At 33.0% G+C, this 18595-nt stretch overlaps 1 long non-coding RNA gene across 1 annotated transcript in view; it reads right to left on the reverse strand.

Annotated features, from left to right (window-relative positions):
* Positions 1–3807: 3807 nt before the first annotated feature.
* The window catches only part of LOC107986221 (uncharacterized), a 67141-nt gene continuing 52353 nt past the window's right edge, over positions 3808–18595 (reverse strand). The window contains exon 3 of the long non-coding RNA XR_001741501.2: positions 3808–5448. This is a non-coding gene — a long non-coding RNA (uncharacterized LOC107986221). The remainder of the gene's footprint in view (positions 5449–18595) is intronic.

Raw genomic sequence — 18595 nt, forward strand, 5'->3', positions numbered from 1 at the left:
GCAACCTCCGCCTCCCAGGCTCAAGAGATTCTGCTGCCTCAGTCTCCCGAGGCGCCCACCACCATGCCCAGCTAATTTTTGTATTTTGAGTAGAGACAGGGTTTTACCATGTTGATCAGGCTGGTCTCAAACTCCTGACCTCAGGTGATCCACACGCCTCGGCGTCCCAAAGTAATTCTGAGATTACAAGCACTGCGCCCGGCCGGTGTTCCATATTTTAAGCAAAAAAAAAAAAAAAAAAAAAACAAAAAGCAACAACAACACATCCGATCAGTGATTTTCAGAAGTTGATGGTGATTACAAAAGGGCATCCCCAGAGAACTGGGAGATTGATATTACTGTTCTTAATCTTCATTATGATGCTCTTTACATGATTGCATCCATGTGTCTAAACTCATAAAACTTCTCATCAAAGAGGGTAAGATTTATTACCTATACATTTTTAAAAATCAAATTAAAATATACCACTGTTTCTATAAACTATTTAAGTTACTTTCCTCTAAAATGATGCTCAGCATGTACTTCTTCAAATTTTCCTTATGATACAATTTCTATGTCAATGTTATAGGGTCTTTTTTATCTACATATTTTCCCTGTCAGTTTTATAGGGTCTTTTTTATCTACACATTTTCCCTGTCACACATATTGAAAAATTTAAATCCATAATCTCAATCATATGCTTAATGTACCCAAATTATTTTCATAAGGAAAAAAATAGAATTTGGAGGAAATAATTTTTCTTTTATCATCGATTAGTATGAAGAGTCAGCATTTGCTACTTTAAATATCTCGTCACATAAAAGTGTCATGTGGTTCAAACACAGATTTGTTTCAATGATGAATACATTGATTTTTATCATATTTTAAATTCTTCTAATTATTTCATATTTTTCCACCTTCAGTAAATCTACTACAGGGTCTTTTCTAAGGACAAGAATTCTTGCATTTTTTATTTATACGTCCAATTCTTCTATTAAATATGTCCTCTATTTATATATATTTATATATTTTTTTCTTTTAATATTAATCTTCACTAAGCAATCTGCCTCTAATTATATTAATGATTTGCTGCAAAAGGGTTGTGTAGATTGTGGGTTATTAAAAATTTGAGTAGTTAAAGAGAGTTATTTTATTGGTTACCTCTAGTGAGCTTGTTAGTCATTGTGAAGCACTGTGGCTACTCCATTTATTATTTTTCTTTTTCAACATGCATTTAAATAAATCTACTACATACCAGGCACAGTTCCATATGATGAGAGTATGGACTAATGACATAACCTCCTCTCAAGAACCCAAGTAAGAAGAATAAAAAGGAACAATTACCTCATAATATAACTACACATATTATGAGGGAACACATGGAAGGGAAAGATGACCTTGGCTTCAGGATATAAGAAGAATTTTAGAGGTGTGGCAATTAATTTGGGTTATGAAGGAAGGGTATGTATTTGCTATGATAACATAGCATTGGTAAGGCCATGGCAGCAGACGGAAGAGGACAGGCAAAAGGTATGTGGGCCAGAGGGATAAGTCAGGGCCAGCTATGGAAAAGTAAAATGTATCCAGTTTCAAACACTTTACATATTCTACACTAAAAGAAAACATGATTACATTTGTAATTTAGAAGGCACTAGTAAATCTAGCAATAGTTTGAATGTTGGTTCAGAGGGAGATGAAAATTATTTTTATTGTTATAACAATATTACACATTTTTATCTTGAGTTCTCATTGTTCAAGGCATGAAGTGGGTCACTTTTTACTATTAAAGTCCATTTAATAGTAAAAGTAATGTAAATTTATTATTTCTAATTTGTTTATAAATATATTTAGATAATAAAAATAGCCTTGATGCTTGTCTGGTTCATGTGCTTATTTCCTTCTTGATTGCAGAATAAACATGACCCAGATCATGTTTGTCTAGGCTTTTTAAAGAAACAATAATACAAACATTTCCAAATAGTTACCTTTTCTCCGGATAAATATTCCCTTAAACTTTTGTTTACAAAAGTTTACAAAAAAAAGGGGTTACAAAGCAAATCAAACATAATTCTTTCCCCACAAATATTGATAATCTAGTTGAGAGGAGTTCTTAGAATAAACACAAGAAAAGACAAAGCCATATTTATGTCATAAAATAGAGAATAGAGATATATAATTGATGAGAGATATCATTAAAATTAGAATATAAACTCATACTTTATTAAAATCACAAAGCTAATAAATAATTTGAAATATTTCTATTATATTTAAAAGCATCACATTTTTTGGTTGCTCTGATGAATATGGCCCCCCCGTATAATACACACACATCACTATTCATCTTACTAAAACATTTACTTGACCTTCTAAAAAATATTTCTCTACATGTTATGATACCAAAGAGAAGCAATGGAATGGAATGCAACGTTTGGCTATTTTGAAAATTTGTATGTATTAACTTCTTAATTTGGGAAGGGATGAACAATTATCCTTACTAAATATATCAAAATTGATCCTCAGAAAACATATGAGATAGATATTATTTCCATTTTACAAAAGAACACAATGAAATTAATAGATTATTGCTAAACGCCTGGTGTGAAATTGAAAATGAATTTGATTCAAATCTAATGATTTCAAATTTAATGTGGATACTTAAGTACTATAATACTATAGAAATTAAACTCTTGAAATGAGCTTGTGTGATTTTTTTTTTAATAAAACCTTTAAAAGTACCTGAAAAAGCACTGCTTGATAGTTCAAAAGATATTCATTGATAATCAGTGGTTACCCATGAAGGCACCCTCTCCATACCCTAATTTATTCATGTATAAATAAAGAAAATACTTAATCGTTTTAAGTGAGGATTCAATGTGTTAATATTTGTCAAAATTATTAAACACTGCCTAGCACGTAGAACATGCTATACAAATGTTAGCTGTTATTGTTGTCTTTTATAATGTTGGTATTATTTTAATATATATTTTTCAGATGTTGATGTGAATCTATTTAAGAGATACACAACAGAAAATATATTGATAGGGTATCCTAACAGATAAATTTTCAGCAGTTTCAGCTTCTTTGTCCATGTTACTTATTTCAAGACCTGAACCCTTCCTTCTTATCCTTCTGCTCTTTAAGTTTTCTTCCTCCTCCTCCTAGACTTTCTACTTTTCCTCCTTATAGTCCTCTTTTTCTAGATCTTCAAGGGGACCTATTTCTGGGAATGGAGTTGAAGTTTCAGGCATTGTGTTTGAATGCCTTTATTTGATGTGCCCTGAAAGGTTGAGTCTTTTTTATAAGGATCCTCAAGAACATAGTGCAAGCCCCACAATCATCAAACCTAACTATGATGCATGAGTAGGAAGCTCACGGTTAGGGACAACAACCCCACAGAGTTCCGAGTAGGTTTCCGGATAACTTGCTGGTGTAAACAGTGGTGGATAATAGTTTCTCCTCTTAGAATTTTGATTCTATTTGTAAGTAATAGAAAATAGCATTTGAATAAAACATTTCAGTACATATCAAAAAAAACAATTTCAGATTCTTAACAATAATTGATCACTTTGTCAGTAAATATTTGAAATCTAGTTTCCATTACTCGTCACGCAATATTCTCCAAAATAATTTATCTTTATTAGATAGAGGTTCATGTCTTCATCTTTTGTTGCCACATCTTGTTCATCCCATGAAATTTCTGAATCTCAGTACAATGTTACACTTGATTCAGCAACTTGGAATATATAATAAGTTAAAAAATGGATTAAGCTCTCAAATTATGTGTGATTCAATACGTATTACATAATAACATTTGACATGAAGCCCAAGGTTTTTACAATACCTTTATTTCTAAAAACATGAACATTTGGTTTGGAACTGAGAAGTCTGTTAATTAATTTTGAATTATTCCATCTACTTTTCTCAGTATCACTGACAAGAAAGTAGGAAGCACATCAGCTATTAATAATCACAAAAACAGCAATAGTCCTTTTTAACCACATTCCAACTGTTACCACTATTTAAATTTACAAATTACTTTTCTACATTTATCTAAATCCTTCTACAACATTGCTTTCTTAGAATGTACTATAATTCCTGAAGATTATTTCTTTTCTATTTCAAAAATATGGCATTTGTCGTCCTGTTTTTTAAATGAATGTAGGTAGTTTCCTCTAATATCTAGTAAAAATTCAGTCTGTTTTTTCCTTCTTGCCTTTCTTCTCTTATTTTTCCAATTTCTTCTATCTATTACCATCACTTTTCTCCTTGGGCAGTTTGGAATCTTAGCCTAGAAAACATGCTTATTTCTCTGTTGTTTTTCCTTCTGCTCCCTGCTGATATATTTAAACATGTTACATCTATATTCATAACTTCATATTTAAATTTCTGAAATAATGCCCTAATTGGTCTGCTTCTCTCCCTGCCACCATTATTCTGACAAACCTTCATTTCTAATCCAACACACAGCCAGTAAAATACTAACATGCTTATGTCACATTTTCACTTCCTTACATTACTACCCTTAGTAAGTCTCCATCTCACTGAGGGTAAGACAAAACCCACACAATATTATGGGTAGTTTTCAAAGGGAATCGTATTACTTTCAAAGGCTGTTTTATGTTTTTTCCCTAATATTTGGGAAATTTTATACACTTACTAGGTGGAACCACAACTGTTTAAGGTTTCTCTTTTATAAAGAAGAATACCACCAAGTAAAAATTGCCCAGTATCCTACCATTCTTGAACATCCATCTAGATTATCAGGTAAATCAAACAGAACAGAACAAAACAGAAACAACAAAACCATTTATAAAAACAGAGCCTAGAATCTGAGTTTTTAAAATATAAAAATCCAGTATTTTAAAGTTTTTATGTACTCTTTATTTTCCTATGACCATATAATCAAAAAGATACTGTATTTCACTTCTATGACATTATCTAAAGTTATTAACCATTGAAGCAATCCATAAAACACATATGACAGAGACTTTGTGACATTTGAGTTGTCAGTTTAACACAATCCACATTGGTAATTTTCACATGCAAGTATGCAACAGTGGAGATTTGAAACAACTTTTAACAGACTTAAAAATAGGATAACCATATAATATATCACTTAAATGGGGACACTCTTGATCGTGAAATATGGTATTAAATCAATTAGTACCTAATATTTTTGAAATGCTTCTTTCTTGCTTGATTTATTGATTAATACTGTTGGAACTACAAAGTAGTTATTTTCAAAATATTGCTGCCTAAAAATAGTATACATTTGTAGGTTTAAGCAAAATAACATTATTGACTGAATATGTTTTTATAAGAGAATTTCTGCTTTCCATACATAATGGGGTAATTTAATTAATGTGAAAATTACCTTTTTACTTCTACTGGAAAGAACTTGAAAATCAACAAATACATGAAACAAATGCTTCCAGACGTCAGACAACAGAGAGTGCCAGAAGATGAACCCTAAAAAAAGAAAAACAGATGAGGTGAGCCCTGTGGTCACCTGACTTTGAGCCTGGAGACGCTTTAGACCCTGGTAAGGAGTGAGAAACCCATTGAGAGCAAAGAGATGTTGCTTAGTTAGGGAGGCAGAGGTTAGAGTTTGATAACTCAGAGATATTTGGAATTTGTGAAGCAGAGTACATAAATAGAGGGAACTAAACAAAGAAAGAACTGTAGAAAACTGCACAGAATTTCATATTATTCTGTTCCTGGGTATTAAGATATGTATGAGTAGCATGCAAATCTGTGAGTCCAGGCAGAGAATGACTCAGAAGCTCTTAGTGTTTCCAAAGCTTTTAAAGGACTCTAATATTTTCAAATTCTAACCAGCTGGACTAGGGAGTTCTCAGCGAATAACTGGGGGATTCAAAAGAGATTCAAGAAGGTAATGTTTTAATAGTAAAAATAAAGTAGCCCTAGAATAGAAGCTACTATATTAAAAGCCCTAGATTAAAAGCCAGTATAAACATGTTCTAGCAAACCTTAAGCACTTGCCTCAAATGGTTCAAGGTGACCCTAAGAAAAATTACCAGTAAGGACAAAGTTCAGCACTCTTTAAAATGGCAACAACATACAACACATGGCATAAATAATAAAAGAAAGCAAAATGTCCTTTAATCAAGCCAACAGACATGCCAACAAATAAAAAAATGAGATCTATAACTAGAAAAAAATTGTTGTAAGATCCAGAAATGTCAAAGATGAAGAATTTACAAACAAGAACATTAAAGTAGCTTTTATAAGCATGCTCAAATATTTTTTAAAAGCATAGGCATAATGAGTATGAAATGAAGGATACATACAACAAACAAATACAACTTATTGAAATGCAAAATACATTGTCTAACGTACAAAATTTGCTAGATAAGATCAAAGAAGACTAGATACTGTAGAAATAAAGCAAAATCATTGAATTTGAGGACAGAAATAGAAACTGTCCAAATGGAATCACGGGAAAAGAAGCAAATAAGAAATGAGTTTCAGAGAGCCAAACATCACAAGTAGTTCTGCTACATGCAACCAGATGCTTAGAGGAGTCCGGGATAATAAAAACACATTTGAAAACCTAATGGCCAAAATTTTCAATTTTATGAAAACAATAAATTTGAAGTTCAAGACAGTCAACAATTCCAAACTGTCAATAAAACAACAAAATCCACGATACAAAATGTCACAATTAAATCACTGAAAACAGAAAAAGAGAAAATAGTAAAAGCAGACAACAATGATACATTTTGTAAAGAATAACAAAAGATAAAAATTATTCCAGATTTCTCCTCAGAAACCATATTAGCCTTTGGTGGGACAATTACAGAGATCTAGGTGGCTGTAGAAAATGTGAACTAATTTGGTTGCCTGTATCAGTCAACTCAACCTCATTGGCCTTTAAGGAACACTTTAATTAAACAACACAATGCATTTTTTTAAGTCAACCTGAACCCACTTATGAATATTAATCATATTTTTGCCATTAAAACACATATTTTTAAGTTTAAAAGAACTGAAATCATACAGAATATGTTCTTTGACCACAGCAGCATTATCAGAAATTACTAACATTAAGATATTTGGAAAATTTTCTAACTCTTAGAAAACAAATACAACTATGAGTAATTCTCAGGTTAAAAAGATTTTATAACTGAAAATAGGAAATATCCTTAATTGAATGAAATTAAAAATGTTAATAAATACACAATATATCAAAATTTGAGTGATTCACCTTGTGTAATGTCTGGAAGTAAACTTGTATTTTTAAATGCTTAGAGTAGCAAAGAAGTTCTAAATCAATGGTCTAAGTTTCCATCTTAAAAACAAGAAAAAGAATAACCAACCCACAGTGTTGTGGAACAAAGACAAAATTGGAGGCGAATGTAAGAATAAACACATAATAAAAAGGTAAAGTTAATTTTATTTAATGTAATTTAAAAAATAAAACCAATGGTTAATGAGTCCTTAAAGACAAAGAATTAATACTTTTTCTAAACCAATAGAGATATAAAAGACATGTGTCATCAATAACAATAATAAAGGTACTTCACTACAGGGACTACAGAAATTAAAATGATAATGAATAATACTATAAGAAGTTTATGCAAACAAATTCAAAAATTAGATACATGTGTAAATTCTTTGAAAGAAGGGTTACCAAAATTGATTCTAGAAGAAATATAGAATAAGAATAGCTCTATACGAATTAAAGAAATTGAATTGTCTTCCAAAAACCTTCCTACACAAAATATTAATTTTCAAAATGTCTTCTAATATTTTTATTTCTTGAGTAAATACTACTCACTTTAAGTAGACACAAGCATGTAACTACCTTATATGTCTTCTTATATATTGGATCCAAGCATTTTTTCCTGATATACATCATATCTTAATAGATATTGCTATACATTTAGTTTTTATTTTATTAAATATAGCACATTACATTGAAATTTTAAAAATTACATGTGCCCATGTGTTTTATTTTCTGTGACATATTCTCATATATATATATGAGTCACAATTTTTAAGTCAAAATTGGAATGATGGTTCTGATAAATTCGCATACCACAGCTGTTTATTATTGAGATTTTGCCTTATCTCCATGGCTCATTTCATTTTCCAAAATCATTGAGGAGTGTCTACATGTGTGAGGCTGCTTTTGTAGAAGTTACTTTAGACTAGTACACCTTTTGTCATAAATGCAGTCCATCTTAATCTCTCTTTCTCTCACAGACTCTCAATCAATCTATTTATCTTGCTTGTACCCATTTTTCATTTATAATTCAATGCAAGTCTCATCTCTTGGTATATTCTTTAACACCAACTGAAAATTTGATTTAGATGGTCTCTGATATATTTTTATTGCTTCCACAAATACTTTAACTGTGAGCCTGGCAAATTATGCTGAAATATTTGATTGACCTTTCCACCTCTTTGTTATATTATAATTACTTTTGGAATGTGGAAATATATTATTTTGTTTTTCCAACTTTATGGCTGATTACAGTGCTCCCTACAAGACATTTGAGAAATGTAAACCGAGTTACATGGAAATAAACTAAATGGATAAATATTCTCTATCAACATTTATGACACGGCTGTTCTTCAAAATATGCTGAAGTTTTTGAGGGTACAGTCAAGGAAGAAACTATTCTAGCCCTTTCTTACTGCATCATTGCTCTGCAAGGGATTGGCCCTGTAATCCCATTGGATTTTTAGTTACAATGTTCACTTTTAAGACACTGTATTAAAATTTGTGTGATTCAGCTGAAGTAATGTCTGGAAGTAAACTTATATTTTTAAATACAGTAGCAAAGAAGTTCTAAATCAATGGTCTAAGATTTCATCATAAAAAAATAATGAATTTTTAGTTACAATGCTCAGTTTTTATTTAAGACTTGGCAAATGTCATTCTTACCTCATTTGCCTTATCTGTTATACTTTACAGTCTCCTCAAAAATTTTATTTTTGTTTTTTGAGCAAACTCACTTAGCTACTCACTCTTGATCACGTGGTCCCCAAATTTTAATGATTCAGCTTACAAAATTTTCTTTAACATGGTACATAAGTAATACATATTTAGTAGAAACCATACTTCAAGTACCGATACAAACATTATGTGTTTCATTTTCATAAATTATGTGAGATATTCAATACTATATTAAAAAATGGGCTTTGTTTTAAGTGACTTTGACCAACTGTAGGCTATGTAATTATTTCAGCACATTAAAGTTAGGCTAAATTAAGCTATGATGTTCCCTAAGTTGGGTGTATTAAATGCACTTTTGACTTTCAGTATTTTGAACTTATGATGGGTTTATTGTATGTGACCTCAGAAATAAATCCAGGAACATCTGTACTTCTTTCATTATTCTGAGATATACTTCAGACTTACTTGTTTTGTCTTATCACATTTGGGGTGACTCTATTTTTATTTATGAGTACATACAACATCTCTCTGAGATCTCCTTGGTCATTGCTTCTATTTGATAAGTGATGATATTGTGGGAGAAATAGCCTGAAAGGGAGGGCACATCAGTTAGGATTCCCAAAATTTGTTTGCTGATTGTCTCCCACTAGGTGCACTCACATTTATTAAAGAAAAACGTTCCCACTCCTCCTTACACTTCAGTAGCTCTGGTATAACTGTTTCCTTATAGAAGAAAGTTTTAGTTTACTTTGGAATACCTGCCTCCTTCCCAAATAGTACAATCTTAACTTCTTTTCTCTATGGCACGTATGTTAGAGACCTAACATTACCACATTGAGAAAAGAGCACATGATAATAATTTAGATGTTGAAAGATAAACATACCTAAGTTTGGCAGATTGTAATTTTCTATTCTCTGGAGCCTAAATTAAATCACTACATTTCCTTCAAAATGCTTTAGGTTGATGCAATACCAATATGAATTTTCTAATTGCTCATTATTACTGCTTAGTTCTTCCACTGAGGTGGAAGCATCATATTAAAGCATCATATTAATTGTTTAATATGATGACTCTTTTAGTCACAAAATACTGTGCAGCAATGTAAAAATCACCGATTTGTTAGAAACTAATCAAGCAATAGCGACAGGTGAAAGGATTCCACAGTCTGTACTTTCAGGAATTAGCTGTCTTGCCTTGACAAAAGCTCTAGGTTGGATACTCATCTTACCATATTAATAATCATATATGTATAGTAGAGTCTAATAATTTGTATGTAGCTTACCGAGATGTATTAACCATGTAGTTGTGAGTGTATCCATACATGTTGTTAAATTGAAATAAGTTTAGCCTAAATCTGCCTCTGTATCCAGGAAACTGTAATGTAACTTAATGTGTAAACAAACTGCGACCTAATCTGCGAGTATATTCTTTTTACAAGTATATTAAGTCCTCATTTAATGTAGTTTACAGGTTCTTGGAAACTGATTTTAGGTGAAATGACATAAAACCAGTTTTTATTTTCCTATTACATTTATAAAAAACAAAATTGAATGGGACAACCTTATTCGAGGACCTCCTATGTGTGCTTCTGCTATAAGGCACAGTTCCCAATAAGCTATGGAGGTTGTTAACTGGCACCTTACTGTAGCCAAATCTCAGCCAATCAGAACAGCTGAAACTTCAGCCAATCATAGACTGAAAGCTGTCAAAATATGTTCAAATTAAGCAAATGTCATACTGCATCCAATCAGGCTATTTCTGTACATCGTTTTCACTTCTCTGACTCTAAATATTGCCTGCACATATTGGAGGACAGAACTCTCTGAACTGCTTTTGGTCCTGAGTGCAACCTGCTTCATGAATCTTTTCTTCTGCTTAAACTCTGCTAAATTTAACTTGCCTCAGGTCTTTTCTTTAACAATGTGTAACTTTCTAATTACTGTAAAGTAAGATTTTAACAAAGATGACTTCTTTTTTCCAATAGGGAAATTCAGATATTTTCGTTTTAGAATAATAATAAACATGTTTGAAAAGCAAAAGGGATTTCATTATATTTTTTACATTATACATTAATTTACATCTCAACAAGTCTCCTTAAATACAAGATGGACATAAAAGTCAATAGAACTTTTTTTCTTTTCTAACTGAAATGTGGATCAAAAAATAAAAATAAATAAATAAATAAAATAGAAATGAATTGCCTCTTTGTACATCAAACAAGTGAAAATATTTTCTACTAATGTAAAAGGCAGTTGGGACATATGAAGATGAATTCAAAATACAAATTGAATTATATGTTTAAACAAGTAATCCTAGAGATTACTTGTTTAGAGAATTCCTAATTCACTTAAGACGTGTACTTTTCTAGGAATGATTTTTAACATTTTGGGGTTATCTGCTGAGCCACTCTCAAACATGTGAGTTGTTTTCCTAATAACTGTAATGAGTTGCAGTAATCCACTAATACTCTTTCAGACTCTTCAATGTTTCCTCAGTAAATGATTTTGGGAAGACATGTATGCAACATCAGAAGTACTTTGGGGGATGGATTAGAATTTAATGTTGTCTGACATGGCTCTAAACCCATTAAGAATCATGTCCTGCCAATGGGTTTAACTGTAGGCAGGCATTCTCTAAAAACCCCAAACACCTGAATATCTTACTGTATTTGTTTTGTGTCTTAAGTAGTCAAATGTGTTACCTGTCAGTGTTTGCAATATGTTTGGTTAGTCTCTGGATCACCCTGTTTTCATCTCTTCTGCTGGTTTTTATTGATAGGTTTGCCCAAAGACAATGTGTTGATGGGGTATCTAGTTCCTTTGGAAACAGTAGATATTGTCACTTCAGCTCACTCTTTTCACTGAGTGAGTATGTAGAGTTATGTAGCCCTATATTTTTCAACTTCCCAAAATATTAAGCTCTTAAATATCCTTTTAAGATAAAGCAATCTGTTAGTCAACTGAGTGGACCCTTGAGCAGTGTATTAGTCTGGATCAATCACTGTTATTAAGAAATATCTGAGGCTGGGTAATTTATAAAAGAAAGTTTTAATTGACTCACAGTTCCTCATGGCTTGAGAGGCCTCAGGAAACTTACATTTATGGTGGAAGGTAACAGAGAAGGAGGCACCTTCTTCACAGAGTGGCAAGATGGAGTGACTGCAGGCAGGGGAAACACCAGATGCTTTTAAAGCCATCAGATCTCCTAAGACTCACTCACTATCACAAGAAAAGCATAGGGGAAACTGCCCTCATGATCCGATTACCTCCACCTGGTCCACCCGTTGACACATGGGGATTATGGGAATTATAATTCAAGATGATAGCTTGGGTGGAGGCAGAGCCAACCATATCAAGCAGTCCTAAGCTGTTTCTTTCTTCTCTATTTCTTATGTTCATTCATATGGTTCTGAACCATTGACAAACATAAATAATTGCCCTCCTCTATTTATTTTCAGCCTGGCAACACCACAATTGGTATTTATCCTGGTGGCACAGGATGACTCTGCAAACTTCCGACATCAGAAGACAACAGAGAAGAAACAATGATACTCTATTCTTATACAGCAAAAAATTCCAAGAGTCTTGGGACTCCATCTTCTCCCCATGATTTGAATGGTGATTTCAGAGTGGAGCTGATGATTCAAGCTAATCAAATCCTCTTGCCTGAGATGTGGTCTCAAATTTTTCTTACAGACAAGCTTAATTTCAAGAATGATGACCTTAGGGAGCCCCTCCTTATGGAGCTTTGGGGGTAAGTAGTCCCACTCTTTTCCTTGCCAACTCTATCCAAAGAAAAATGCCTGCCCTATCAGCTGATAGAACTTTTTAAAAATTTTTCTTTTTTTAATCACATAAATTACCATACATCATCTTTACATGTATTTATTTATCATAGATGTATTGGCTTTATTTTCATAAAAATATAGTTTTGATGAGGGCATATATACTTTTTCAGACCTGTTTTCTGTTGCATCTCCAAAACTGTAAACAATAACTAAAATGTATAATTATTTGTTTTTTAAAATAAGTTAAATTCATGAGTGAATATTCTCTAACAAGAATGTAAATGAGCAAGTTTTCTAGCTCAATCTATGAACTTAATGCTCTAAATTAAAAATCAGACTAATTAAGTTAAGGTCCACCTTAACCTAATTCAGATTAAGGTTTAGGTCCTTTAAAAATCAGCTGGAAGAGAAGTATTTATAACTAAAAGAAAAAAAAATCAAACATTTGTTATCATTCAACGTGAGAGGTAGATGATATGCCAAATGACTGAATGGACAGTAAATGTTACAAAACTTCAGATTAGTGTGCAGATTGATATGAGATACAGGGTTCAGTGCAAAAAAAATAGAAAAGTTAGAACTTAATAGAGACCAACAAAGATGAGTAACATTATTTAGAAAGGTAAAAAGACAAACCCACAGCCAATATCATACTTAATGGGGAAAAACTGGAAGCATTCCCTCGGAAAACAGGCACAAGACAAGGATGCCCTCTCTCACCACTCCTATTCAACATAGTATTACAAGTTCTGGTCAGAGCAATCAGGCATGAGAAAAAAGTAAATGGTATTCAATTAGGAAAAGAGGAAGTCAAATTGTCTTTGTTTGCAGATGACATGATTGTATATTTAGAAAACCCCATCATCTCAGCCTACGATCTCCTTAAGCTGATAAGCAACTTCAGCAAAGTCTCAGCATAAAAAATCAATGTGCAAAAATCACAACCATTCCTATGCACCTATAACAGACAAAGAGCCAAATCATGAGTGAATTCCCATTCACAATTGCTACAAAGAGAATAAAGTACCTCGCAATACAACTTAGAAGGGATGTGAAGGACCTCTTCAAGGAGAACTACAAACCACTGCTCGAGGAAATAAGAGAGGATACAAACAAATGGAAAAGTATTCCATGATCATGAAAAGGAAGAGTCAGTATCATAAAAATGGCCATACTGCCCAAAGTAATTTTTAGATTCAATGCTATCCTCATCAAGCTACCGTTGACTTTCTTCACAAAATTGAAAAAAAAACTACTTTAAATTATTTATGGAACCAAAAAATAGCCCACATAGCCAAGACAATCCTAAGCAAAAAGAACAAAGCTGGGGCATCACTCTACCTGACTTCAAACTATACTACAAGGCTACAGTAACAAAAACAGCATGGTACGGGTACCAAAACAGATATATAGACCAATGGAACACAACAGAGGCCTCAGAAATAACACCACATATCTACAACCATCTGATCTTTGACAAACCTGACAAAACCAGCAATGGAGAAATGATTCCCTATTTAATAAATGGTGTTGGGAAAACTGGCTAGTCATACGCAGAGAGCTGAAACTGGATCCCTTCCTTACACTTTATACAAAAATTAACTCTAGATGGATTAAAGACTTAAATGTAAGACCTAAAACCATAAAAATCCCAGAAAATACCTAGGCAATACCATTCAGGACATAGGCATGGGCAAAGACTTCATGACTAGAACACAAAAAGCAATGGCAACAAAAGCCAAAATAGACAAATGAGATCTGATTAAACTAAAGAGCTTCTGCACAGCAAAAGAAACTATCAACAGAGTGAACAGGCAGCCTACAGAATGAAACAAAATGCTTGCAATCTATTCATCTGACAGACAAAGGGCTAATATCCAGAATCGACAAAGAACTTAAACAAATTTACAAGAAGAAAACAACCCCATCAAAAAGTGGGTGAAGGATATGAACAGACACTTCTCAAAAGAAGACATTTATGCAGCCAACAAACATGAAAAAAAGCTTATCATCACTGATCATTAGAGAAATCAAAACCACAATGAGATACCATCTCACTCCAGTAGAATGGTGATCATTGAAAAGTCAGGAAACAACAGATGCTGGCAAGGATGTGGAGAAATAGGAATGATTTACACTGTTGGTGGGAGTGTAAATTAGTTCAAACATTGTAGAAGACAGTGTGGCGACTCCTCAAGCATCTAGAACTAGAAATACCATTTGACCCAGCCATCCCATTACTGAGTATATACCCAAAGGATTACAAATCATTCTACTATAAAGACACATGCACACATACGTTTATTGCGGCACTATTCACAATATCAAAGACTTGGAACCAAGCCAAATGCCCATCAATGATAGACTGGATAAAGAAAATGTGGCACATATACACCATGGAATACTATACAGCCATAAAAAAGGATGAGTTCATGTCCTTTGCAAGGACATGGATATCTCTGGAAACCATCATTCTCATCAAACCAACACAAGAACAGAAAATCAAATACCGCATGTTCTCACTCATAAATAGGAGTTGAACAGTGAGAACACATGGACACAGGGAGGGGAACATCACACACTGGGGCCTGTCAGGCAGTGGGGACTAGGGGAGGGATAGCATTAGGAGAAATAGCTCATGTAGATGATGGGTTGATGGGTGCAATAGACCACCATGTCACGTGTATAACTATGTAACAAACCTGCATGTTCTGCACATATACTCCAGAACTTAAAGTATAATAATAATTTTAAAAAGGTAAAAAGAAGAGGAAAACCACCACTTGAATATTTATAGTAGAGAAGAGCAACAATAAAACTTCTTCACTGACACAATAATTATAAAATGTAAAATTGGAAGAATTTAATTAGAATATAAACAATTTGACTTAAGATATTTTATTGAGAAGAGCGATGTAAATAAAGATAGATCAACTGTTGCCAAAATAGTTGGCAAGAATAATATCAGTCTTAAAACTTTACTTTGTAGGCATAGAAAACTTTCCTGGTTTATCATTGCTAAATGGGTGCCTTTTGGAGTTATTTGGTAATTGACATTTACAGTTCTCCTTTTGTAGTCTATACCTTTGTTTATACCTAAGTTTAAATTGCTGAATCATTATCCTATTATTATTATTAACTTACTTTATTTTTAATTAACATCTTAAATTTTTAATTAAAATTATTTTTTATTCAATTACTTATCAATAAATAGCTATATCATTTTCTTTGTATAGATTATATAGATTGTTTTCCTCTCTTTGAAAATTTAAGTTTTTCCACAAAACCTTTCATCCTCATTTGCTGCCACACTCACCTTTTTCACATGTACCTTAATGAGTCTTTAATTAGATGATGAAATAACAACCAAAAAGGACATTTTACTTGAAACTGGAGCTCAATAGCCATTAGGCCTTGTAATATTTCCAACCCTCCTTCTTCATCTATCGTTTGTTTGCACTAGACAAAACTCCTAGCTGATATCAAATTTTGGTAGATTAACATACCCAATAACAACCACATATATTTGGTTTGGGTCATCTACTTTATCCAAACCACTGTTACATATCATATCTGAATTGACTCACACAGCAACCTATGAGTAAGGCAGAGCAATTGTTATTAACATCATTTTACCAATAAGAGAATCAAGATTCTAAATATCCAAAGAAATTGCTTTTCAAAACCCACCTTCTTTAAACACACAAGCTATTTTAGTATAAATTATTCATTAATCAGTAATATTCATAATTCTTCCATGTATTTAATTTTGAAATAAATATTAATGTAAAAATAGAAAAACATAACATTTTTAGATTTAGGAAATATTTTATATATGAATTAAAATTTGCAAATTAAAATTTGATTCAATATTGATGTTTTTGGATAAAGTTTTCTTTACATGTACTCATTCTCACACCATCTATGTGGAAAAAAATTGCGTGTATTTTATCTACACCATATATACACACACTCACACACACATAGAAACTCTAAATATATATATACACATATAACATATATACATACACACACTCATATATTTTTAAAAATGACAGTGTTGTTATGAGGTAGAATTTAAATAACATGTTAGTAGAAGAAATCAATGAAAAGAGATATAATATAAGAAAATAAGTTTGTAAAAAAATGATCACAGTAATTATATTTGGATAAGTGATGAAATAGTTTTAAGATGAGATCAGGTGTGTTCAGGGTGGTATGTCCATAGACAGATTTAGAAAATTCTTTTCAAAAATTCAGCAAAACTGTAAAAGAACCTGAATAACCAAGGTAATCCTGAGCAAAAAGAAAAGAACAAAGTTACAGGCATGACACTACCTGACTTCAAACTATACTACAATGCTACAGTAACTAAAACAGCACGGTACTGGTACAAAATCAGACACATAGATTAATGGAGTAGGATAGAGAACCAAGAAATAAAGCCACACACCTACAACCATCTGACCTTTGACAAAACCAACAACAAGAAGCAATGGGGAAAAGACTCCCTATTCAATAAGCAGTGCTGAGAAAACTGGCTAGTCATATGCAGAAGACTGAAACTGGACCCCTTTCATCATGTACAAATGTCAATTTAAGATGGATTAAAGACTTAAATGTAAGATCTAGAACTATAAAATCCCTAGATAGAAACCTAGGAAATACCATTTTGGACATAGGCCCTTGCAAAGATATCATGTTGAAGATTCCATAAGCAATTGCAATAAAAACAAAAATTGATAAGTATAACTTGATTAAACTTAAGAGCTTCTGCACAGTGAAAGAAACTATCAACAGAGCAAAACAAGAACCTACAAAATAGAAGACAATATTTGCAAAGCATGCATCCACCAAAGGTCTATGATACAGTTTGGCTGTGTCCCCACCAAAATCTCATCTTAAATTCCCATACGATGTAGGAGGGACCCAGTGGGAGGTAATTGAATCATGGGAGCAGGTCTTTCTCATGCTGTTCTTGTGATAGTGAATAAGTCTCATGAGATCTGATGGTTTTATTTATATATTTATTGTATCTATTTAATTATTTTTTTTGAGATGGAGTCTTGTTCTGTAACCCAGGCTGGAATGCAGTGGCATGATCTCAGCTCACTGCAAGCTCCATCTCCTGCGTTCATGCCATTCTCCTGCCTCAGCCTCCTGAGTAGCTGGGACTACAGGCACCCACCACCACGCCCAGCTAATTTTTTGTATTTTTAGTAGAGACAGTGTTTCACCATTTTAGCCAGGATGGTCTCAATCTCCTGACCTCATGATCCACCTGCCTCAGTGTCCCAAAGTGCTGGGATTACAGGCATGAGCCACCGCACTTGGCTGAGATCTGATGGTTTTAAAAGGGGAGTTTTCCTGCACAAGCCCTCTTCTCTTACCTGCCACCAACTGAGATGTGCCTTTTACCTTCCACCATGATTGTGAGGCCTCTCCAGTCACATGGAACTGTAAGTCCGATAAACCTCTTTATTTTGTAAATTGCTCAGTCTCAGGTATATCTTTATCAGCAGCAAGAAAATGGACTAATACAGTCTGTATCCAAAATCAATGAGGAATTTAATGAAATCAAGAAGCAAAAAACAAAGAAACCCATTTAAAAAAATGGGCAAAGGACATGAACAGACACTTCTCCAAAGAAGACATACAGTCAACCAACAAGCATATGAAAAATGCTCAACATCACTAACTATGGCAAGATGAAAATCAAACCACAGTGATAAACCATCTCACACCAGTCAGAATGTGTAGGAAATCAGCCAGAGTGGTGGGAGAAATGACAGGGAAAGGAGCAGGCCTTCCCAAAAGGCTGGAAGGCTTTGCAAAGCTCCAGGGGAGAATAGCTGAAGGCTGCTGTTCTCTGACCCTAAGGCAGAGGGCAAGGAGTAGGTAC

The sequence above is a fragment of the Homo sapiens genome, chromosome 4, assembly GCF_000001405.40.
Source record: "Homo sapiens chromosome 4, GRCh38.p14 Primary Assembly".
Classification (NCBI taxonomy): domain Eukaryota; kingdom Metazoa; phylum Chordata; class Mammalia; order Primates; family Hominidae; genus Homo; species Homo sapiens.